Consider the following 23,402-nt stretch of genomic DNA (forward strand, 5'->3'; position numbering starts at 1 on the left):
TGACGCTGCTGTGGAGCTCCGTGAGTCAGTACCTGGAGGATGCCTAGGACTGGGCTGAACTTAGCCTGTACAGCCCCACGGGGAGCTGAGTGGAGAAGGTGGGCTTGGGTGTTGGGAGCAGAGGGGGCAGCATGGGAATCCAGGGGTTCTTAAAGGTCTAGGTGCCTGTCACCCATGAGGAGGCCCCAAGGGGTCCCTGAAGAACAGAGGCACCGATCTCCTCCTGCCGGGTAAGGGAGCAGGGCTGAGGCCAGGAACAGGCCAGTGAGAGCCTGCACAAGCCAGGGAGCCTTCAGTGTGACAGCCAAGGACCAGCAGAGCGCCAGCCTGCTAAGGACCCCGGGCCGCACTCAGGCCTGGGCGAGGGACTGACCTGGGGACTTCTTGAGGTTTCTCCGACTGTATGGAGCTCACCAGGGAAAACATGGCGGATGCCTGGATTCATTGCCCAGCTCCGAGCTCAGCACAAAAACTCCCTCTTGGAACAGTCTAGAAAGAGGCTCACCTGAGGCCCAGCACCCAGGGGCCATGATGTCACGTGGGCCAAGGCATCTGAGGGGCAGGGGCCTTCCCCATCCCACTGCTGCCATGGCCCGTGGCCCACTCTGCCCTGCCCTCCTGACCCAGGAGCCCAGTGCGTCTCTGTGGGGTGGGAGGAGCGTCAGCAAAGGAGAGGCTGCACAGGGCGCCTTCAGCAGTGACGGGAAACCAAGAGCAGGAAAAGCAACCCTGCTCAGCCCTGGGCGACTCAGACAGGAAAGGGCCTGAGCCCGAGGCAACCAGGAGGGGGCAGCCTTATCAGGGAGGCCGTGCCGCAGGCCTGAGTGCTGCTTCTGCCCTCATCCAACTGCAGCGGGACAGAGGCAGAGGCAAAGTGGGGGCCTGGAAGCAAGGCTTCTAAGGTGGCAACAGTGTCCCAGCCCAGCCAGGCGGTGGCTGCAGGGGCCCATGCGTGTGCGCCTGTGCCTGTGACCAGCCTCAGGGCCTAGGGGCAGGGAGCAGACCAGGGGAAAGGCTCTGTCCCTGGGGGGTGGCCGGGCAGGTGGAGAGCCAGGTTCAGATGGGTGACCCTGGGCTCTGCAGCTGCTGTGATCCTGGCAGAGGGGAGGAGGCGCCCTCGGCAGTCAGGAGCAGGATGATGGTAGTGACAAGGCCCTGCTGTGGACTGAGCCTCCCAGCCTAGGAAACCTGGCTCTGGCCTCCCCTGCAGCATGTGATGTTTGGCTCCAGAGGCCTTCTCCTCTGGGCTTTTCCATGCCTGTGAACTGGGCCCCATTCATTTCCCTGTGGTTTCATGGAAACGTCCAGTGCATTCAGGAGGTTGCAGTGTGCCCAGGAGGAGAGGGGTCAGCGAGAGGCACGAGCTGTGACTGGTGGGCCACCCAGAGGCCACGGCACCCTCTGCTGGAGACTGGCAGCAGGGTGCATGGCCAGCTGTGGGTGGGGGTCCATCAGTCAAGCAGCTGCACTTTCTCCCCATCCCCCTCCCCGACCCAGGCAAGGTGCTCTGCCTGCGGCTCCCTTTCTCCAGGCCTCCACTTTCCAGCTCCCAGGCACCCAGCCCCACCCGGCCTGGCCTGGAACAGAGCTGCCACCAAGATCTCTTCCACTTTCCCTCCCCAGCAGCCTGCAATTCAGTGCTCCGTAGACCCCTGCCTCCCGGGGCCCTGCGGTTCCCACCACACTACACTCAATTTCCAGCTGCTAAGAACACAGCAGGTTCTACGTAAAGGTGGCCGTCACCTGCACCCCATGGGCTGCCCGGCCATGGAGAACGGGCCATGGTTGGGTACACAGCTTCTGAGACAGGCCCAGCAGCTGCCTTCATGGCCTCGGCAGAGCCCAGGGCTCTGGAGCTTACAGGGAGCATGTGCTCAAGTGTGGAAAATTTGGTCTGCAGAAGAAATGAGGCTGAAATTGGCTGGGAGCAATTCTTATCAAAGCCACGTTAGCAGTTTTCAGCAAGAGCTAATTGAACAAGCTCTGTGAGTGGCCTCATTCCATTAGCAGGAGCCTCCCACAGAGCGTGACAAGGGCCCTGGTGGCTGAGGGCAGAAGAGGCTGTTTCTGTCCCACATTTGCCTTTGGCCTTTGAAAATGGACACATTTTCAGCTTTGGGCACTGGTCCTGCTCCTCTGCCCCGGCTCCCGCTCATTTCCAAAGCCACTCTCTGAGTGTCCTGTGTGGGGAAGGGGTGAGGTGAGTTTCTCAGCACTTCAGCAGGTGCGTGGATCTGAAACAGGACAGCCTTGGAGACACGTCCTCCTTGCCAGGCAGGGTTGAGAGGCCAAGTGCAGAGGAGCCGAGAGTCTGAGGGCCAGGCCCGAGCAGTCTAGGTCAGGAGATTGGGCCCTGCCTTAGCAACGTGCCTGGGCCTGAGGAGAGACCCACTGCCGGCCCAGTCTCCCTCGACTCCTCTGGAGCCATGGAGTCCTCAGGGAGGGGACAGGAGGCAGCTGGGGTGTGGCCAGGCCAGAGCTGAGCTGATGGAACCTGAACCCCACTTTGTGGGGTGGCCATGCTCTCTGCTTTCTCCTCTCTGCTGTGCCCAGTAGACTGGAAAAGATAGATCCAGGGGTGCAGTCCTCTGACCTGAGCTCCAGGGTCACCTGTCTGGCCTCCAGCCTGTTTCCTCCATGCTAGGGCTGTCAGGGCAAGTGTCTGACCTGGGCCCGCAGGGCGCTGGTCAAGGGGCCCAGGGAGGTGGGGTCCAGCCCTCTGTGCCCCTGACTGACTGTCTGATCTGGGCAAGGTCCTTCATCTCTTGGCCACTGTCACATGGCTTGGGCGACACTCCTCAGTGCCTCCAGGATGCTGTAAGGAAGCGGCATCTGACTGCACCCACCCTTTCTGCAGGGACCATGGTCAGGACAGAGCTGTGGACACTGAGCAGGGGCTGGCCTCAGGACCCACCCAGACAGGCCTCCTCATCTCCCCCAACACCACAGCGGTGCTCCGTCCTGGGAGCTGGCCAGTTGCCCTCCCCAGGACAGGACCTCAGGCTTCCACCCTGAGCTCCTTCCTCCTGCCCTGGGCCCTGCGGGCTGTCCCATAAGCTGGCTGCTCTCCTGGGGTCTTTCCCTCTGTGAGCTCCTCTGCAGATACATTCCGGCCTTTGGGATGCTTCAGACAGCAAGCAGGAAGCAGACAGACACCCCGCATCTCCCCCAGGCCAACTCCGGCCCCATCAGCAGCAACCTGGTGGGGAACTGTCCACACCTGCCAGTCTCCCTCCCTCCGTCCTCTTGGGTTTCTGAACCAGCCTCTCCAGCCGCACTGCCACTGTGACTTACTCCTTCTGGCCAAATCCAAGGGCCCTGTGCAAGCCCCTGCTCTTCTTGGCAGCTCTCACACTGGGGACAACCCGCAGGCTCCTCTGAAGTCCCAGAGCTGCTTCTCGGCCACTTCCTACTGCCTCTGCCTGGGAGCTTATCAGCTCCTGCCCCGCTGTGCCCAGTTGGGAAGAGGGCGCCCTTGTGGCCCCCAGTCTCCAGCCTTGCTCTTTCTTTTCTTTTTTGAAATGAAGTATCACTCTGCCACCCAGGCTGGACTGCAGTGGCACAATCCTGGCTCACTGCAAGCTCTGGCTTCCAGGTTCAAGTGATTCTCTTACCTCAGCCTCCCGAGTAGCTGGGATTACAGGCACCCGCCACCATGCCTAGCTAATTTTTGTATTTTTAGTAGAGACAGGGTTTCACCATGTTGGCCAGGCTGGTCTCGAACTCCTGACCTCAGGTGGTCTGCCCGCCTTGGCCTCCCAAGTGCTGGGATTACCCTGCTCTTTTTTGCTTCCTGGGGCTGCTTCTTGGGAGCCTTGGGCTGCTCAGCTTTCATCCCAGCCATGCCCTGCCTCTGGTCCAGCCTCCGTCCCTCACTGTGTCCTGCTTAAGGTCCCCGTGCAAAGTCCTTCCCTTGTTCCAACAGCCTTCCCCAGCTCCCAGAAAAGGTGCCGGTTGTAGAGTGTGACAGGCACCAGGCTGTCCCTGTACCCCTCCTGGCGCAGCCCTTCAGTCTCCCCTTGACACAGTCTGCCCTTGACTTCTTATTTTCCAAACTAACCTGATGCTTTTCTTTATTTGTTTGTTTTTTTGAGAGGGAGTTTCGCTCTTGTTGCCCAGGCTGGAGTGTGATGGTGCAATCTCGGCTCACCGCAGCCTCCACCTCCCGGGTTCAAGCAATTCTCTCGCCTCAGCCTCCCAACTAGCTGGGATTATAGGCGCCCACCACCATGCCCAGCTAATTTTTGTATTTTTAGTAGAGACGGGAGTTTCACCATGTTGGCCAGGCTGGTCTCGATACTCCTGACCTCAGGTGACCCACCCACCTGGGCCTCCCAAAGTGCTGGGATTATAGGTGTGAGCCACTGTGCCCAGCCTGTTTTGTTTGTTTGTTTTTGTTTTGTTTTGCCTCCGTGACTTTGCTATCTCACCCCTTTCCTATAAAACAGTCCTTTCTCACCATCTCTTGGAATTAGTCTGGCACTCAGGAATGCACCTCTGCTGTTGAGGCTCCAGGAAGTTAGGGCCAAGGCCCTCTGGTGCAGCAGTGCAGACCGCGGCCTGGGGGTGGGGAGACTGTGTGTGGCCAGTCTTTTATTTTTTATTTATTTTTTTATTTTTTACACCTTAGGCTTTGACCCACACAGAAAGAGATGGAACAGCCTGGGCTGCAGGGGCCTGGAAAGGGACGAGCATGTGGGTGGCACCACGCGGGGCAGCTGCAGGGGCAGGGGCTGCCTGTTCTCCTTCTCCCGGTGCTGCTCCAAGGGCACAGTTTGGTGACCGCAGCCACTTAGGGGAGCCTTGAGGATGCAAAAGAGAGTGAGGACACAAGGACACTAGCAAAGCCTAGCTCTGAAGGAGGAGGGATGCCATGCTGGGATGTCGCCACCGTCTTGTCTGAGCCCAAGGGTGGTGCTCGGTCCACCCGTGGGGAGCAGGGAGGAGAGAGGACAGGGCCCTGGCTGCCTCTGGCCTGCTTGGGAATGAGCTCCCTCAGGCGGAGCTTGACAGTATCCACACGCCCAGCAGCAAGCATCATCATCAGAAACACGCAGCCCAGAGCTGTGTGCCCAGCAGAACAGGGCACTGGGGCAGGGACCCAGCCTTCTCAGCTCCTGAATTGGAGCCTGGCATGCCCCATCTTAGAGTCCTTCATTCTGTGCAGATGCACTTGGCATCTAGAGTGGGACCGGAGTCTACGACACGGCATGGAAGGAAATGGCCCCTGTGTTCAAAGAGGCTGTCACAGACATGGCGGCTGAGTGCTGGGATGGGCTCTGAATGGGATGTCAAGAAGCAGGTGGCAGGAGATGGGTGGAGGGAGGGCGAAGGACGATGATGCTCACTGCTGGGCGTGTGGAAGGGGAGGGGAGCTGGACGCAGAACCTCATTCCCTGGAGGTAGGACTGAGCCCATGACGGGGGAGCCGCAGAGGGCCCTTCCAGCAGAGGGATGGGACCAGCTTTGGCGTGAAGGCCGCAGAGCAGAGCATGACTAGGGAGGCCACCTGGTAAAAGAGACGGAGGCTGGGACAAGACTGGTGCCCTTGTCAGAGGGAGGCCAGGAGAAGCTTCTAGAAATGTAGCTGCGTGTTTAGCCCAATTCCTAGAGTTGGGGCAACCATGCCAGTCACAACATAGGACGTGTTACAATGATGTCTTATTTTTTTTTCAAGGCCAGGCACTGGCACATTGCTTCCCTATTTTACAGGCTTTGAAAGAAATGGAGATTCTGAAAGCTTAACTAATTTATCTGGCAAGGCATGGTCTCTCATGCCTGTAATCCCAGCACTTTGGGAGGCAGAGGCAGGAGGATCGCTTCAGCCCAAGAGTTGGAGACCAGCCTGGGCAACATAGTGAGACCTCCTCTCTATAGACAAAATTAGCTGGGCAAGGTGGTGCGCGCCTGTGGTCCCAGCTACTTGGATGCTGAGATGGGAAGATCAGGATCACTTGGGCCACCAGGGAGGTGGAGGCTACAGTGACCCGAGGTCATGCCACTGCACTCCAACCTGGGCAACAGAGCAAGACCTTGTCTCAAAATTAAAAAAAAAAAAAGTTTGAAATCACGCAGTGAGAGTGGCAGGGCTGGCGTTCCAGCATCGTCCTTTAAGATGTGACAGCAACAGGTCCCACTTGAGACAGCAGGAACGCGGCACCCAGTGCTGCCTCTGCACAGGCCCGATGCTTGCTGGAACCTTAAAGGCAAAGGAGACCCGATCATAAACGCATGAAGAGCGCATGTTTCATGGGATTGATGTTGATGCTGGTGTTCCATGCGAGCCACTGAGGAGAAGCCCCTCTCTCAATGGCAGGGCCATGAGAGGTGAAGGACGCCCCTCCACCCCTCCCCCAGACAGGTCTTTCCTGGCCACAGATGCCCCAGATCCCTGAATGTCAAAATCGAGTCCCAATCTCCCAGTTGAGCAGAGAAACATTCAGATCTGGTTCCTCCGTGATCAGGGAAGGCAGGCTTCCTCTGAAGCGCAGATGGCTTCACCCCTTTCTCATCTCATCACCTCTAAGCCCTGCCAGGGCGAGAGCAGCCTTTCCCAGCATCGTCCTTTAAGATGCAACAGAAACAGGTCCCACCTGAGCCAGCAGGAATGCGGCACCCAGTGGCTGGCTCTGCAGTCTTGATGCTCGCCGGCACCTTCAGGGTGAAGGACGCCCTGTCGTAAACGCATGAAGAGCCCTGCGTTTCATATATTGATGTTGTTGCTTTTTCTTTAGAGGAACGTTTGTGCACTGTGGGAACCTCTGTCTCTACCAGTGTCACCCTTGCTGTGGGGAGTGTGTACCGTGTGCGGGGGGCTGGTGGCCTTTCTCTGCTGTCTGCCACAGCGTGTGAGGGGCTCGCTGAGCCTCACACCTGCCCTATCCTTCCCCATCCCCTCCTGCCCCGGGGAGGCACAGACCCAGGGAGGAGGGGTGCTGGGAGTGAGTGCTGAGGAGCTGGGGTCCTGGCCCTGCAGCCACTGTCACACCACAGCCCCACCCCAGACCTCCAGAGTCGTGGGACTCTGGTGGCACAAGCTCCAGAAGCTTGGTCGATGCCAGGTCTGGGACCGAGGCCCCCGTCTCCGAGGCCTTGGCTTGCTGTTCTGGAAGGTGATGCTGGCTGGCAGCCATTCCCAGCCCCTCGGAGAGCAGTTGTCAGGCAGTCCCTGAGCTCCAGCGCCCCATTCCCAGCAGGGCCCAGTGATCTCATGCCTGTGCCCCTGGTGCTGGGAGGAGCGGGTTGGCACTAGGGCCGGTGCCCACATCAGAGGAGGAAGGTCTGAAGCCAGGGCAGGGGGCAGGGCACCCTCCCGTCCAGCGGCCCCAGTGCCCACTCCATTCCTTCGGGGCTCCCGTGGCCCAGAGTGTGGAGCGGCGCGGCCTGACCACCCAGGATAGCTTGGGGCGTTTCGGAGGTTTGGCTGCCTAGGCTGTGCACCTAGCACTGCTCCCCAGGAGAGGGAGGGAGGAGGTCAGAGTAGAGGGCCCTGCTGACCAGGTCACTGTCACAGCCTCCATCTCTGGCCCTGGGTTCCCATAGGAGCGCCTAGGCTCTAAGCTGGAGCCTCCCCATCCCAGGACCTTGGGGAGGAAGAGGCTGGGCGCCACCTGCTGGCCCACCAGGGAATTGACAGGGTGGGGGACTGTGGAGCCTGTGCTGGCCGCAGATGAGAGCCCTGACTCCCACCTTCCCTACCCCACCCACCCTGCACCGTCCAGCTCAGTTCTCTGACCCGTGGTGCCAGGTCCCATTTGCAATGGCGAATACTGAACTCGGTGCAACTCTGGCTGCTGGCAGCTGGGCTTGGCCTGCACCTTCCTGTCCCCAGACTCCACTGGGGACCTCCCTTCCAGCCATCCCAGGGCGTCACCACCACAGCCAGGGGCCAGCCCCACCTTCATTCACTCTTGCTCATAGCTCACCTCTTCTCTCCACCCCCATCTGCTACCTGCAGCATCAGAAGGACATGAGGGCACCAGACAGCCCCTGCAGCTGTCCTCAAACATCATGGCCAAGGCTGTGCCTGGGAAGTGGACTCTCTGCAGTGCCAGCTCCCTCCTCAGTGCCCTTGACCTTTATCTGGGTCCCTGCTTGATGTGGCCCAACTGGCTGGGCCAGAGCCCCACAGGCGCTGTCCCGACCCCCAGCCCCCTAGAGGGAGGGAGAGGCTGAGACGGCAAGGGAAGCAGAGACTCAGCCACACCAAGGGCCCTGGCAAGGTGGGCCTCTCCTCCATAGCCTCACCAGGCTTCACGTTCAAGGTCACCAAGAGTGCACTTGTTCACTGTTGAGGGCAGGGGTGACTCCTGGGACTGTGCTGGGGTCCAGGGAGAGCAGGTAGTGGAGTTGCCAGGGAAGCAGCTTGCCTGAGGTCTGTGGTCTTGGCAGGGGCTTCCACAGCGGCCCCACCCTCTCCCTGTCCCCTCCCTCCTGTCCTTGTCCTCGTGTTTACTGAAGATCATGAGAAGGGATGTGGAGAGCGCCTGCAGGAACTGAGAGCAGGAGCCTGGCTCAGCCCTGAGAGGCCCCCAGATATTCAATTCCTAAACCCATAGGGTGGGGCATGGGCACAGAGGAGAAACCGGGGCCGCCCGGCACAGCCCTGCTCTTTCACCCTGCCCGCCTGGTGGCCTCCTTAGCCTGCAGCCTCGGAGCGACCCAGTATGGGGGCATGCTGCCACCTGCTGGCCACACTTCAAAATGCAACCCAGGGTCGGCCTGGAGGCTACAGGTGTCCCTCTTCCCCCAGGCCTGCAACTGGGCTGGGGAAGGGGCACCAGGGAACAGCCCAGGTGCTCCTGCCCAGGAGGATTGTCCGACTGCGTGGGGAGAAAGTCCAGAACCGTGCTTGGCACATGGTAATCTTTGTGGAATGAGTGAACAAATGAATGAATGAACTATGCATCTGATGCTTTTCGGTGATGATGACCCAACCAAGATAGATTACATGAGCCATTTTCCAGCAGGAACTGGGACTCCTCTTGGGCTGACAAGATGTAAGTATGAAATCTAAATAAGATTCCAATGGCACTAGACAGTGACACACGTGACCCTAGCTATAAATGCCCATGGAAGAGAATTCTGTCTGACATTCAGGGAAGACTTGGAGCGGGGCAAGGGGATGGGATTGATGGCAGAAGTGAGACTCACAGGACACGTGTGGGAGACCCCTGGCTGGCCATGTTGGGGGAGGAGGGGCAACAGGAAAGCAGCGCCTGGATCTCGAGGGACTTGGCCGGCTCAGTCCTTCCATCGGGAGCCACATTCATTCACAGCGACTGTTGAGTCTAACAACGCTCAAGTACAGCAAAGCTGGAGCAACAGGCCCTGAAAGGGTGACTCCAGGGTCTCACCCCACCCTGACTCCTTCCCTCCTGCTGCCTCAGACTCTCCTGTCTACCCTCAGAGACCCTGTCGGGAGGCTTCCCTCCAACAAGGCACCATCCCCAGGGAGAAGGGAGCCCAGCACTCCTGGCCCTGTGGGGTCCTCAGTCCACTCACCACTGCCACATGCCCCAGGGAGTCCTCGGACTAGGACCTGGGCCGGGCCCCCCTGGGTTCCTATGGCCTGGGCGAGCATGGTGCCCTCTTACAGCCTGGGCTGCCTGAGCATTCCAGGCATCCTGTCATTCAGCAGAGATCTTTCCTCGGTGCCTTCTCTGGATTGGGTGGGCTGCTGAGCTCTGGGGCTGCTGCCGTGAATTATTTAATAGATGGGTGCTTCCCTGCTCTCCAGGGTCCCCCTCTGGGAGAGCCAGCACAGGAGCTAACCAGTCAGAGGAGAAGGCGGTGTAGACCAACTGGTGCAGGGGAGACCATGGGGGTGCTGGGCAAGACAGGGACTTGGCGGAACACATGAGATGAGGCAGGGCTGAGCCCCACAGCCAACTCCTCCCCCCAGAGCCGGGCATGAGGTGCTCAGCGGATGACCACCAGCTCCCCGAGCTGGACCACATGTCACACAGGTTTCTGGGATTTGCTTCTAGAAAAGCCTGACCCAAACATTTGGAGATGACAAGTACTCACTGGCCTGGAAGGAGGTGCTCACCAACATGTGCTTCCGGCCCATGCAGATAAGGAGGGCCCAGCCCAGTCCCCATGCAGGTAAGGAGGGCCCAGCCCCAGTCTCCCCCACTCCCGGGAGCACACTGGCCCCAGACCGGTGACCTCTACGTGCAAGCACAGGCCCCCACCGTTCCTGCCTGCTCTGGACATGGCTGGGTGGACGGGGGCTGCTCCTCCTCTGCCAGAGGGTGGGAGAGGAGGCCGACCCCAGGCAGCACCTAGGAGGGGGCACCCTGAGCCTCTTGAGTTTGAGCCGCTGTCTCCTGCTCACACTCGCTCAAGGACAGAGTGCCCTGGAGCTGAGGGGCTACTGAGACCTCCTGTCAGGCTGGGGTCCTGGAGGAGAGACAGGGTCCCATGTGGCTTCCTGTCCCAGGGAACACTCCGCAGCCTCCATCCCCACGTGGAGTCCAGAACCAGCTGTCAGCCTCTGGCCAGTGTGGGAAAGAAGCGGACTTGGCTGGGGGCCTAGGCCTGGGCCTGCAGGGAGGTGGCAGCCTGTGGGGTGGACAGCTGGGCTTGCTCTGGGATGCCTGTCACAGCGTCCCAGGCTGAGCTTCCCCCGTGCAGGGCCCGAGCATCCTGGGACCAGGACCCCAGAGGACCCTCGGGTCAGCGGGAGCAGTGGTTGCTGATGGGTCGGCTCTGGGTCCCGGCCCGGCCCAGGGCCAGGGACAGGCTATATTTTAGGGGCTCGGTCACTCGGAAGATTCAATCTGTTCACAAGAACTGGATGGCTTCAGCTGACCTCAGTGGATTTATTTTCTGACACTTCAAGCTCTGCTGGGTTTGAAGCCATCAGGGCCTGCTTGGGCCTGGTCACCGTGACCTGCCCCCAGTCACAAGTGTCTGCCCAGCCAAGCACCTGTGGCACCCACAGCGGAGAGGGGCTGGGCCGTGCCCACTGGGCTCTCTCTGTTCTACACTGCAGCGGCTCTAGGCCTGGCAGAGAAGGCGCAGCAGCCCCTGAGTCCCAGAACTGCCTCTGGCTCTGCCCTGCTGGGGCCCCTCCCATGTCCCTGCCTCTGACGCCATCACCTCCAAGGAGGTACAAGCCAAGCTGGAGCTCCAGAGATCGGAGCCGCTCCGGAGTTAGCCAGAGCCCGAACAGGCTGCATTCTCCTGGCTCGCCTCCCAGGGAGCTCAGAGGCGCCCTTGCCCGGGAATCCGATGGCAGAGAGTTACCAGGTCTGCGGTGCTCCTGTTCCTCAGCCCCGGGAACTGGGGTGGGGACAGGACAGAGCAGCAGCAGAGAGCACAGAAAGGTGTGAGGGGGCACACAGTCCCCAGTGAGCATCTGCATCAGGACACCAGGGCTGTCCCAGGGCTGTCCCAGGGATGGCTGGGCCTGTGGGAAAGCCATGGTCCCCACCCATCCCACCCGACCCTGAGCCACCTCCACCAGCCAAGAGGGGCCAGGGCCCTTCATCAACCTCACCCAGGTCATCTGGGGAACTGGGCCACCACTGAGAACAAAGCCCAGACATGTCTGGGAGTGGAGGCTGTGCCCACCTCCCCCAGAGACTTGCCCCCGACTTAACCCAGGGCCCAGCAGGGGCTGGAAGGGAAGTGGAGTTAGGGAGCGGAGCAGGTCACCATCAGCTGCGCCCTGGATTCCAGGGCCCGTGTGCACAGAGTAACGGGAGCTGGCTGTCTGTCTGGCCAAGGGCACAGGAGGGTGAGTGTGTACAGCAGCCAGGGAGCAAGGGAGCCAGAGAGACACACAGGAGTGACCTTGGACCTCTGCGAGGAACCCGTTCACTCGCTCCCAGGCAGTAGCACTGGCCCTGACACCCAGCCCTGAAAGCTCGGAGACTGCAGGACAAACAGCTTCAGGGGCTGTGGCCCCAGCTGGGACGGGCTATGCGCTGGTCCCTAGAGACTCTCGGTATCTCCCCCTGCCCCAGTCCTGCCTCCTGCCCAGCACAAGGGCCTTTGGAACTCAGCCCTCTGTGTCTCAGCCCCCGGGAGGGTCAGGTGTCAGAGACGAGAAGGGCCGAGGCTGGCAGGCCGGAAACTGCCTCCCTTGGCTGCTGTGGGGTGGAGTACCAGGGGACACAGAGGTGCTGGGGTGAAGCGTGGCTTCAGCTGCGTGGGATCAATGCCAGAGGGGATGAGGTCAGCTCCGACCAAAGGTGTGCCTAGGTCCGAGAGGAAGCGCCAGGAGCCTGAGGCCTGTGTTGCACGGGGCAGGGAATGGCATCCTGGGCTTTCTTGCCTGCCTCCCACTCTAGCCAGATGGAGCAATGGACTTGGCCTCCTTGAACAAAGACCACAGCCTCCTCAGCTTCTGCTTGTGTCTCCAGCAGACAGCGCCTGCAGCCCCCGGTCATACATGGCCACAGGCTTCCCCCTCCTCCTTCCTGGGCCAGAGTAGCAGCCTCAGCCCCATGCTGGGGAGGGGTAGACCAGAGACGGTTCCCTCCTGGTGGTGCCCAGCAGTGACTCAGCAGCGACGGCACATGTCTGGGCCATTCTCAGTGCTGCCACCTTGAGGGCATTTGGGAGGCCCAGGCAGGCCAGATTTGTCTCCTGGAGAGAAGTATGGGCACCCCTGGGCTCTGCCTGCCTCCTGGCCTCCCCTTGGGTTCCCTTGTACAGAAAGGGGCACTGGTCCTGGCCCTGGTCCTCCCTGGCTTTGCTCAGCAGCCAGCAGCCCGCCAGGTCTGTGCACACCAAGGCTGCCGATGGCAAAGCTGTGGGTGGCATGGGACCTCTGGGAATAGTCGGAAAGCTCTGGGCTGGCCAGGCTCTGACCCGCCCCACAGATGGCACTTTACTTCTGCTCGGGGCTGCTGCAGGACCTGGCACAGTTCGGGCACTATGCGCTCATCATGCCCCTGTACACACACTTCACCCACAGTGGGTGCTCGGTGGCCCAAGACCATTCAGCGGTGATGGTGGAGGTCCAAAGGTCGGGCGACCCAAGTGTAGGGGAACCCGACCTGAGAACTCTCTCTATGGGCCGGTGCTGCGGAAGCTGCAGGGGGTCTACAGCCAGCCCTGGACACAGCCGAGAGGAGGGCGCTGACCTCGGAGGGCTGCTTTCTGCTGCCCTGGGAGCTGGGTGCTGGGGTCCTAATCTGTCGTCTGGGGTGGAGCACCATGCAGCTCATCCCCCAGCCATCACCATTCCCCACTGCCCGCCCTCCACCCTCATGCCCCATACAACACCGCCCACGACCCCGCCCCCTCTTCCCAGGCTATAGGGAGCGACTAGACATGGCGCCCGATACCCTGCAGAAGCAGGCAGACCACTGCAACGACGGCCGCATGGCGTCCAAGCACATGAAGGAACTCAGCACCGGTCTCTTCTTTGCCATTCTGGTCAAGGTGAGCCCTCCAGCCTGGTGCCCCTCACCTCCCTCTGGCTCCCGACCCTCCTGGGCACCTGCTCACCAGGAGGCCTCGAGGAGCCCAGGGCAGTGCCAGGAGGTGCCATGGCTGCAGCACTGTCCCTGCAGGAGAGTGGCCCCCTGGAGTCAGAAGCCATGGTGATGGGCGTCCTGAAGCAAGCCTTCGACGTGCTGGTGCTGCGCTATGGCGTGCAGAAGCGCATCTACTGCAACGTGAGTGCCCTGGGAGAGCCCGGGGGCGGGCGGGGCAGCCCAAGCCATCCCGCACTGGAGGGGCACAGGCTGTGATGGGTCACACTCCACCCCTCGCTCCCCCAGCCCTAGCACAAAGCCCACCTGATGGGCCTTGCTGAGACGCCCAGCTCTCCCACCTGGGATGGTGGCTCCAGGCCCAGGGTCAGGCCTGGCCCCCTTCCCCAAGGACCCAGGAACCAGAGAGCAGGCCCCTCCATGGCCAGTACAGCTCGGCAAGGTGTGCAGGCTTTGGGGACTGTGTTTATAGGAACGTGAAGGAATGAAAGGCCAGCGAATGGTCCGTGGCCGCTCTGGAAACTGTGTCCCCTGAAGACAAGGAAGAGAGCTGTCCCTGGCTCGGCTCCTGCCCTGAGTGACTGTTGACTCACAGTTCTCTCTCCAAGGGGACATGGGCCTGTCCTAATGCTGCCTTAGGGGCTTGGCTCCAGCTGGCCCTGGGGTCTGCAGGTCACCACCTGCCCCTGTGCCTGGCTTTGAATTTCCTAACATCCAGAGTGCCCTGGGAGGACAGTGTCCAGCCCGTTGTGTGCAGTAAACGTGGTGTTCATAACCGGGAGCTGGGCAGAAGAGGAATGACAGAGTCCCCCTGCGGACCCTGGGGGCTCTGTATCCTGAAGTTCAAGCCTAGCTCACCCTGCTGTGGGCCCAGCCCTGCCTGCACTGACAGATGGCACCAGCAGGGGGCGCAGCGCTCCGCCGCCACAGTTCTCTGTCCCCACCTCAGTGCAGTCAGCCCTGGACGCCCCACCACTTGCCCCCAATAGCACACAGAGCCATGGGCCTTCCCAGCCCCCACCCCTGGCCCTTGGTCACTCTCACCTGCTGCCTCAGCCGAAGGTGGCCTGGCAGGGCCTCCCTGAATCTCCCTCCAGCCAGGCAGGGGTGGGCCAGGGCCAAGGGCCACCTCCAAGCAGTAAAGCCCTCCAGGGTGGAAGGGCAGGTGGCCCCCTCTGTGTCCCATCCCCCTTAGTCCTGGCAAACCCTCACCTGCCTCCTGCGGTGCCCCCTGCCCTCTTCTGTGTCCCCTGGGCTCCCCCAGCACTGCATCCTCCCGGGTAGGGTTTCAGGACCCCCAAGCCCTCCCAGCTCACCCAGACCCTTCCTGAGGGTCCTGCTTCCTGGCACCACCTTCTCTTCCTTGGGGACAACCACAGTGGAGAGAGGCAGGGCTCTGCCTGTCCTGCTAATGCAGGGGTGCTGGCCTTCTGGGGTCCTTTAGAGAACCTGATGAAAGCTATGAGTTTACAAGCAAGAAATTGTCTGGCACCGTTTTCACTAACAACATGCCCTGAAGGTGGACCCGGGCCCTCAGGTTGTGTTTTATAAGCCTTGGGAGCGCTCAGGATGCATTTGACTCCCCAGCTCTGCCCTGATCCAGGGCATTCATCCTGGAGCAGGCCCCCGTTACAGACAGGCGAGCAGAGGCTTCCAGAGGCCAAGGGAGGGTCCTGGGGGTCCTGCTGCAGGGATGGAGGCAGAGTTGCGCCTCGTCATCAAGCCCTGCCATCTTTGTCCCCTCACTGCCGGGCTCTGCACAGGTCATCACCATCTTCAGCCTGGTGGAGGTGGTCCTGTGGGCAGCCATGGCCCTCTAGTATAGTGCTGCCCTGAGGCAGCCGAGCAACCAGGGCCACCTGGTCCCCGAGGAAGAGGAGGAGGAGTAGGTCGAGTTTGAAAAGGAACCTGAGGTCTGATGTGCTGGCCAAGCTCAGCCAAACCCTCCTGCCCCACCCCGCTAGCTTTAGGAATAGGACCTGATGACACCAAGGGGGATTTTTAATTTAGGTTTTAACAACTCAAGGGTTTGCTTTTGGTTTTACTTTTGCATTTTATTTAGTGTTTGCAGCTCAGTTTTTAAACAAACTGCAGGGGAGAGGATGGAGCTGGAAGGAAGGCTGAGACCTGGCCAGCAATGAGACCGGTTCCCCTTCTGCCCGGGCCCCACTGCCTTCTCCAGCCCAGGGAATGGGGCCTTTTCTGCAAATCAGTGTCAGGGAATAAAATCAAGTGTGAAGTGCCATCTGGTGTGTGGGGCGCCTCTGGGAAGCCTGGGCAGCGGAATGCCCCTTGCACCCAGGGCAAGGGACCCAGTTCAGGCTCCACCCCTCACTGCTGAGCCGATGTCACCACCCGGAACCTTCCTGTCAGTTCCAGCACGATTCAGAGTCGGCTACGTGGCAGATTGGTGCCGGAGTCTCATTCTGCCTGATTAAAAATGGAATTAGTATGCAGGACTGAGAGCGCCCCCGTCACCCTGACGCATGTGACTGTGTCCAACCCTGCCCCCACTTCCTCTCTGCACCAGCTCCGCAGGGCCTGGTGGGGGTCATAGGTCCTGCAACACCCTCTCCCCGCAGTTCCTTGGCCAACACTCTGAATGGCCCTGTCTATACCCTGGGTCTGAGTCAGTGCCCTGGCAGCTCCAGGCCCAATCCTGTGCTCTGGGGACAGAAGCAGGCCTGGGCCTCGGGGAGGGGACGAGGGCTCTCCAGTGCCTTCCCAACCTGGCCCCGTTGCCCACCCAGTGTCCTGAGCACCCATGGATCCCACCTGCCTTGGGGCCTGGGCAGAGCTGGCTGGCCACTGGGCATTCCCTTCCCCAGCCAGCCTGACCCCAGCCTGCACTCCTCCCCCTCTGTGGGGGAAGCTCCGTGGCTTGGCGTCCCCGAGAGCTGCTAGAAACTAGGATGAAAGCCATGGTGAGCACGGCCTCTGTTCCCCCGCACCATTTCCTGGGGTGTCGGGATTAACAAGCTCATTTGATCTGGTTACAGTGAATTTTCTTCAAAGAAACACTCAATAGGGTCCCTTGTCAGAGTGCGTCGCAGCACCTGAATGACAGCGACTGGTTATGGCTGCCTTTGTTCTGCCACTGTCAGATGGGGCTGGCTGTGGGAGGCGACCAAAGACATCCCACACCTGCCCTGGGAGCCTTTCCCTCCTCCAGGGCTCAGCCACCTCAGGCGGCCTTCAGTCTGTGTGTCCTGCCACCCCCGAGATGTCCCAGAGGCCACGGTCACCCCATCTGTTCCTGTCCCCAGAACCTTCTCCTGGAGCCAAGTATCTGCAGGGACAGACAGGCGAGCATCTGGGGGTTTGGTGTTGGGGTGGAGAAGGCTGTGGGGTGCTGCCCCAGCCCAGGCAGCCTGACTGTGAGAGCCCCAAACAGGAGACATCCCAGCCCCTTCCCCTCCCCTCCACGCTGCCCACCCTCTGAGGAGCAGTGGCCAAGTTCCTCTCTGGGCTTCTCAGGCCAGGCTGGCCCTGTCCCCCAGGGCCTCCCACGAAGCATGGGAGCTGTTCCCTCACAGGCAGCACAGACCCGGACGGACACCTGTCCCTATGTCCCAGCGCCCCCAGGCCCCAGTAAGGAGTAGCCAGGGGGGTGAACAAGGGGGTTCCTGCTGCCTGGGCTTGTTTGGGAAGCAGATGCTGGGCTCAAAGTTTCTTCAGAGAGCCTCACCTTCCGTGCTGGCCCCAGAGCATGGCGGGTCCCTGGAGCTGTGGAGGCCATGGCAGCCCCAGCCCACCCCACCCCATCTGGGGAAGTGGAAACCGTATCCACGAGGGTCAGGTCAGGTCTCTGCCTCCAGTGACCTGGCAAGGTTGTGCCCAGCCAGGACCTGGGCTCAGGCCCAGGCAGCCGCCACACCCTACCCAGAGCTCAGAGAAGGCAGCCCAGCCTTCTCCCCACACCAGTCACACCGAGCCCCGCGTCTGCATTCACTCCTTTAAGGAACATGGTTGACTGAATCCGGTGCCGCGCATTCACAGGATGGCTCTCCATGGGTCCGCTGGGGGCCCAGCCTCTTATGTGGCCCCTCACTAAAAGGACTCAACAGAAAGAGTGACCAGACACCGACCCTCATCTAAAGGAGGGTCATTCCCTGGGCTGTCCCACAGCACCTGCCGGCCAGGGCCCGGGCACAGAGCGAGACTGTCTTTTCCTCAAGGAGACAACGTGGGGGAGAGAGGGAGAGGTAGACACCATCAACCTCATTCCATGACCAGGGCCTGGCGATGCTCAGAAGCCAGTGAGTGTGTCCCAACCCTGAAGGGTCAGTACCGGCCCCCTGGACCTAGGGGGAAGATGGTGCAGGCAGTGACCTGGCCTGGGGAAGGAGCTGAAGCTCCCAGAGCTTGCAGCCACCCACCTGGGGAGAGACTGACGCCTCCCCAGTTCCTGTTAGGAAGGACCTCAGGAAAGAACTGGAATCACACAGACTGGGGTGGCAGCCTCCTGGCCCCTGAGGAGGATGTCAGGCCGCAGAAGGGAGGCACGGGCATGAAGCTTGGGAAGGGGGCACCAGAGGAGGCAAGGCCTGTGCAGAAGCAGCACCAGAGGCCACTGCAGCGGCTCCACCACCCAGCAGCACCGCCACGAGGCAGGAAGTGGGAGGCCAGGCAGGAGGGGCTGTGATCGCCCAGGTGCCAGGAGGAAGGGCTGAGAGGGGACAGTGCAGATGTCCAGAGAGGCCTGGCGGGGATAGGCCACCAAAGTCACAGGTGGGATGGGCTTTCTCCAGGGAGTTCTACAGCACAGATGGTGCCGCTGGCCGGGCCGTGGCCAGCTCTGCACATGAGCCTGCCCCAGTCCTTGCCGGGCACGGACCAAAGAGTGGTTCCTGGGTTGGAATCACAGAATTCAGGGGCTAATGGCAGTCGGGATGGGAATTGGGAGGGGGGAAGTGAATTAAATATTTGAGCCCTGGTGGAGGCTATACAGGATGTTCACGTTAAAGAAGGTTCTGGAGAAGGGGATGATTCTTGGAATGATGAGTATTAGTTTCCACATGCCTGAGTTTAGGTTCTGGATTTAAAACCTTATTGTAAGATCATCTCTTTGAACCTTCTCTCTAATTGTGGGGTCTTATGGTTTGGGGGAAATTTTACTTATTTTTGTTGTTGGTTTTTTGGTTTTTGGTTTTTTGAGACAGGGTCTCCCTCTATTGACCAGGCTGGAGTGCAGAGGCTGGAGTGCTGTGGGGCGATCAGGGCTCACTGAGGCCTGCACCTCCCTGGCTGAAGAGATCCTCCCACTTCAGCCTCCCCACTAGGTGGGAATACAAGCGAGTGCCACCATATCCAGCTAGTTTTAAAAATTTTTTGTAGTGATGGGGTCTTACTATGTTGCCAGGCTTGTCTCAAGCTCCTGGGCTCAAGTGATCCTCCCGTCTCAGCCTCCCAAAGTGTTAGGATTATAGGTATGAGCCACCATGCCCGGCCGATTTGTTTTTTTAACAGATAGAAAATCATTTGAGGGGGAAACTGATCCATTTAAATAATTTATTTTATTTTATTTTATTATTATTTTTTGAGACGGAGTCTTGCTCTGTTGCCCAGGCTGGAGTGCAGTGGCATGATCTTGGCTCACTGCAAGCTCTGCCTCCCAGGTTCACGCCATTCTCCTGCCTCAGCCTCCCAAGTAGCTGGGACCACAGGTGCCTGCCACCATGCCCGGCTAATTTTTTTTGTAGTTTTAGTAAACACAGGGTTTCACTGTGTTAGCCAGGATGGTCTCGATCTCCTGACCTTGTGATCCGCCTGCCTCAGCCTCCCAAAGTGCTGAGATTACAGGCGTGAGCCACCGCACCCGGCCTAAATAATTTATTTTACTTAAAAAACAGTTTTGCTCAACCTCGTTCATGAGCTGTGTTGTGTTCTTAATGTTTATCAATAGTACATTGCTCAGTTCTGGAAAGCACTTAGCCAGATATTTAAAAAGCAACAGAAATTGAAGGGCAAAATAGAAGATGGAACAAAAACTCTCCAATAGTGTATTCAACTTAACAGGTTTTCAACTCACCAGGGTGCTATTGGAATACAATTGTCCCCCTGGTTCCTGTCATACAAGATCAAAGTTAAACCACTAAACACAATTGCAGCATCCTTGACTTCATACACTTTCCTTTCCACACATCCATATAGACGCCCGAAGCACCCTTCAGGGCAGAATTGTCTTTTGTCCCTCACTCTCAGGGGACAACCATTCACTAGGGCCCACCTGCCAGCCACCCCTGCCACTGTCACTACTGCTGGTATTAGGGGGCAGGGGTGAAGGAGGTGGCCAGATCAGGGCTCGGGGTGCCTGGCTGAGTGCCCCCTCCACTGAGCCCATTCCTGTGCCTGCAGCTTCCCACAGGCTGAGGCCCCAGTGTCCTGCTTGTGCTGCTGAGGGGGCTCCATGGCCTGTTGAGAGGCCTCCCCAGGAAGCCCATAGGGAGGAGGTTGGGGTGTCTCCTGCCTTGGGGGTGGGACAGTCCCTTCTTGTTCCCACCCCAGGTACCTGACCCAAGTTCTCCTGTGCATGAGGAATGCCTGGATGTCCCTCCTTGGTAGGTGGGATGGGCCAGAGGGAGGTCCTGCCTACACAGCCCTTAATTAGGAATTTAGAGATTTGTGCTCTAGGAAGGAGCTGCTTCCGCTACCATTTGGCCAACTGTGTGCTGTGCAGACCCGCAGCTTGGAAACAGGTTTCAAGGATGTTCAGGACTTGCCTCGTGTTCATAAAGGTCAGGGGTCGCCTCTTGCCCCCTGCTCCCCTGCTAACTCTGCAGCAGGCCCTGGACTAATTAAGTCCCCGCAACAGCCCCGAGACCCAGGCTCTGTGAAAGTTGTCAGAATCAAAATGGAGCCACTTCTGTCCAACCCTAAGAGCAACAACAAAATCATGCGGCCGGGAGGTTCTGAAGGAGGGCCCTCCCGCACACCTGCCTATGATCAGAGCCCTTCCGAAGCCTCTGGGAAGGGCACAGATGCCTGCAACAAGACCTTTTTTTATTTTTTATTTTTTGCCGGGACTTTGCAGCTCACTATGTGAGTCACAAGGACGGCTAGCCGGCTGCACAAGAACACTTGCCTAATAACGCTGTGTCCACTCATAAACTTATGCCGGTTCCTGGGATAAGCCCCTGGAATCAGTGTTCTCTTCCTTTCAAAACAGCTGTGTAGGTGGATGTGGTGGTGAGTGCCTGTAGTCCCAGCTACTCAGGAGGCTGAGGCAGGAGAACCCGGGAGGCAGAGGTTGCAGTGAGCTGAGACTGTGCCACTGCACTCCAGCCTGGGCAACAGAGCAACTCAAGAAAAAAAAAAAAAAAAAGACAAAAACCAAAAACCGACCATGCACTGCTCCTTTCGCCTTTCAAAGCACCCCTTGCCTCCCCTCCTCCGATGCGCCCCTAGTTTACTAAGGCCGGGGCTCTGCATGCAATGCTGCTGCTTATTCCCAGTTAAACTCCATAGTTTTGGAGAGCCTCCCTCTGTTTCTTAAGGTTGACAGGACTATCATTCTTTTCGTTCATAGATGAGGGAATTAAGGCTTGGAGAGGTTCCGTTCTGAAGGACACTCAGTAAGTGGTGGACAGAGAATTTCAGCTCAGACTCAAAGGCTATTTAATTTACTTCTTTTAAATCCATGCTTCTTAGCACTCAGCTAGTCACGTATCACCTTGACAACTTTTTGCCGTAGCCACATTACTGCCTGTGGTATGATTTACTGAATATTTTTCTCTACATAAGCTCAGATTTGCCTTAAGTCTATTAGAAAAGGAAACTTGTAACTGAAAAATGGAAGACCACCATCTCTTGCCATAAACAGAAGCAACTGTGTATTCCACACACACCAAAAGCAGTGTTCTTACAGCCTCCTTAGATGTTTTGAGTCTAAAGCATGCTTTATCTTGTTAAAGGGGAGATGGCAAAGTTAGGGTGGCAGTGAAACTAACCAAAGGTGGGGAAACTATGCAAAGTCCACAAGGCATTTCTTATTTTTTTCTTTTTCTGAGATGTTGTCTCACTCTGTCACCCAGGTTGGACACATATCTGGTTGTCAAGGATTAGGGACAGGGGAAGAGGTAGAGGAAAGAGGTGGCCTGGTTATAAAAGTACCCTGTGGGGTTGGAGCTCTTCAGCATCTCAACTATGGTGCTGTTACACAAACCTACTTAGGTGATAAATTGTATACACACTCCCACACACATGCACACGAATACAGGTAACACTGGGGAAATCTGAATAATAACTGTGGATTATGCCACTGGGGGAGACTAAGCAAAGTGCACAGACATCTCTTGTACTTTCTTCTTTTTTTTTTTTTGTTTAGACAGGGTCTTGTTCTGTCACCCAGGCTAGAGTGCAATGATATGGTCTTGACTCACTGCAACCTCCACCTCCCGGGCTCAAGTGATACTCCCACCTCAGCTTCCCAAGTAGGTGGAGAGATAATTTCAGCTCACACCCAAAGGCTATTTAATTTATTTCCTGTGGAGGGACCACAGGAGCAGGCCATTTCGCTCCGCTAATTTTTGTATTTTTTGTAGAGATGAGGTTTTTCCATGTTGCCCAGGCTGGTCTCAAACTCCTGCGCTCAAGTGAATCTCCCGCCTCAGCCTCCTAAAGTGCTAGGATTGCAGGGGTGAGCCACTACGTAGGGCCTCTTGTATTATTTCCCTTTTTTTTTTTTTTGAGACAGAGTCTCACTCTGCCACCCAGGCTGGAGTGCAGTGGCATGATCTCAGCTCACTGCAACCTCCACCTCCCAGGTTCAAGTGATTCTTCTGCCTCAGCCTCCCAAGTAGCTGGGACTACAGGTGCATGCCACCACACCCAGCTAATTTTTTGTATTTTTAGTAGAGATGGGGTTTCACTGTGTTAGCCAGGATGGCCTTGATCTCCTGACCTCATGATCCACCCACCTCGGCCTCCCAAAGTGCTGGGATTACAGGCATGAGCCACCGCACCCAGCTTGTATTATTTCTTACAACTACTTGTGAATCTATAGTTCTGTCAAAAATTCCAACTTAAACATGAAACTCAGGGTGGCTATAAAGCCTCCTGACTCACCTTGACTTTGGAATCAATCAATCAATTAATTGAGGAGACCCATTAGTGAGTCTCCTCTGACTTTCAGCCAAGAATGTTCCTAACTCAGCAAGATGAAGCAGGAGGTAGAGGAAACTAAGGGGGCAACAAGCAGGGGGCAAGAAGGACCTATGAGAGCGACATCTTCCCTGAGAGCCCCAGGACGACCACCGGGAAGCCAGGAGGGCGCAGGCAGGAGGACCCGGGAAAGCTCGGCCTGAGGGAGGCCCTAGGCGTGGTGGGGAGTGGGGCAGGGCAGGCAGAGGCTGGGCAGCAGGTGAGGTCCCCTGGGTTCTGAGGGCCAAGCCTGGGGTTTGAGGTAAACAGGCTCGAGTGGAGAAGGGGCTGCTGTGGTTGGGCTGGGGTGGGTGGAGCTGGAGGAGCCTTTTCTTCTTGAACCAGTTTTTGAATTGTGCTACAAAACACGGTACATCAAGTTTACCTCCTTCACCATTTTCAAGTGTACAGGGCGGCAGTGTTGAGTACACGCACAGTGTTGTGCAGCTGATCTCCAGAACATTCTCATCCTGCAACCTTGAAGCTCTGTCCCTATTAAACTCCAACTCTAACCCTAACCCCAACCCTAACCCATTGCCTCCTCCCTCAGCCTCAGGCAACCTCCATTCCACTTCTGTCTCTATGTATTTGACTCCCCTCGGGACCTCAGAGAAGTGTGTTCGTGCGTATTTGTTCTTTTGCACTGGTATATTTCACTGAGCATAATGTCCTAAGGTTCATCCATGTTGTAGCAGGTGTCAGGGTCGCCTTTGTTTTCAAGGCTGCGTGATACTCCATTGTATGTGTGCACCCTGTTTGGTTTCTCCATTTCTCTTTTGCTGGACACTTGGGTAGCTTCCAGCTCTT

General features: G+C 58.2%; 1 pseudogene, besides 10 other annotated features; it reads left to right on the plus strand.

Moving 5' to 3' along the window:
- Positions 124–945: an enhancer, noted in NCBI's record as "H3K27ac-H3K4me1 hESC enhancer chr2:233296883-233297704 (GRCh37/hg19 assembly coordinates)". NCBI's record gives its function as "activates a minimal SCP1, AML or CMV promoter by ChIP-STARR-seq in naive H9 embryonic stem cells {active_cell/tissue: H9 hESC(naive)}" and the evidence as "EXISTENCE:reporter gene assay evidence [ECO:0000049][PMID:30033119]".
- Positions 7,237–7,740: an enhancer, noted in NCBI's record as "H3K4me1 hESC enhancer chr2:233303996-233304499 (GRCh37/hg19 assembly coordinates)". NCBI's record gives its function as "activates a minimal SCP1, AML or CMV promoter by ChIP-STARR-seq in naive H9 embryonic stem cells {active_cell/tissue: H9 hESC(naive)}" and the evidence as "EXISTENCE:reporter gene assay evidence [ECO:0000049][PMID:30033119]".
- Positions 7,741–8,245: an enhancer, noted in NCBI's record as "H3K4me1 hESC enhancer chr2:233304500-233305004 (GRCh37/hg19 assembly coordinates)". NCBI's record gives its function as "activates a minimal SCP1, AML or CMV promoter by ChIP-STARR-seq in naive H9 embryonic stem cells {active_cell/tissue: H9 hESC(naive)}" and the evidence as "EXISTENCE:reporter gene assay evidence [ECO:0000049][PMID:30033119]".
- Positions 9,983–15,910, plus strand: DIS3L2P1 (DIS3 like 3'-5' exoribonuclease 2 pseudogene 1; annotated as a pseudogene).
- Positions 11,457–12,094: an enhancer, noted in NCBI's record as "H3K4me1 hESC enhancer chr2:233308216-233308853 (GRCh37/hg19 assembly coordinates)". NCBI's record gives its function as "activates a minimal SCP1, AML or CMV promoter by ChIP-STARR-seq in naive H9 embryonic stem cells {active_cell/tissue: H9 hESC(naive)}" and the evidence as "EXISTENCE:reporter gene assay evidence [ECO:0000049][PMID:30033119]".
- Positions 14,202–14,703: an enhancer, noted in NCBI's record as "H3K4me1 hESC enhancer chr2:233310961-233311462 (GRCh37/hg19 assembly coordinates)". NCBI's record gives its function as "activates a minimal SCP1, AML or CMV promoter by ChIP-STARR-seq in naive and primed H9 embryonic stem cells {active_cell/tissue: H9 hESC(naive and primed)}" and the evidence as "EXISTENCE:reporter gene assay evidence [ECO:0000049][PMID:30033119]".
- Positions 14,704–15,203: an enhancer, noted in NCBI's record as "H3K4me1 hESC enhancer chr2:233311463-233311962 (GRCh37/hg19 assembly coordinates)". NCBI's record gives its function as "activates a minimal SCP1, AML or CMV promoter by ChIP-STARR-seq in naive and primed H9 embryonic stem cells {active_cell/tissue: H9 hESC(naive and primed)}" and the evidence as "EXISTENCE:reporter gene assay evidence [ECO:0000049][PMID:30033119]".
- Positions 16,318–17,069: an enhancer, noted in NCBI's record as "H3K4me1 hESC enhancer chr2:233313077-233313828 (GRCh37/hg19 assembly coordinates)". NCBI's record gives its function as "activates a minimal SCP1, AML or CMV promoter by ChIP-STARR-seq in naive H9 embryonic stem cells {active_cell/tissue: H9 hESC(naive)}" and the evidence as "EXISTENCE:reporter gene assay evidence [ECO:0000049][PMID:30033119]".
- Positions 17,822–18,571: an enhancer, noted in NCBI's record as "H3K4me1 hESC enhancer chr2:233314581-233315330 (GRCh37/hg19 assembly coordinates)". NCBI's record gives its function as "activates a minimal SCP1, AML or CMV promoter by ChIP-STARR-seq in primed H9 embryonic stem cells {active_cell/tissue: H9 hESC(primed)}" and the evidence as "EXISTENCE:reporter gene assay evidence [ECO:0000049][PMID:30033119]".
- Positions 19,295–19,807: an enhancer, noted in NCBI's record as "NANOG-H3K4me1 hESC enhancer chr2:233316054-233316566 (GRCh37/hg19 assembly coordinates)". NCBI's record gives its function as "activates a minimal SCP1, AML or CMV promoter by ChIP-STARR-seq in primed H9 embryonic stem cells {active_cell/tissue: H9 hESC(primed)}" and the evidence as "EXISTENCE:reporter gene assay evidence [ECO:0000049][PMID:30033119]".
- Positions 19,808–20,319: an enhancer, noted in NCBI's record as "H3K4me1 hESC enhancer chr2:233316567-233317078 (GRCh37/hg19 assembly coordinates)". NCBI's record gives its function as "activates a minimal SCP1, AML or CMV promoter by ChIP-STARR-seq in primed H9 embryonic stem cells {active_cell/tissue: H9 hESC(primed)}" and the evidence as "EXISTENCE:reporter gene assay evidence [ECO:0000049][PMID:30033119]".

The sequence above is a fragment of the Homo sapiens genome, chromosome 2, assembly GCF_000001405.40.
Source record: "Homo sapiens chromosome 2, GRCh38.p14 Primary Assembly".
In the NCBI taxonomy this organism is placed as follows: Eukaryota; Metazoa; Chordata; class Mammalia; order Primates; family Hominidae; genus Homo; species Homo sapiens.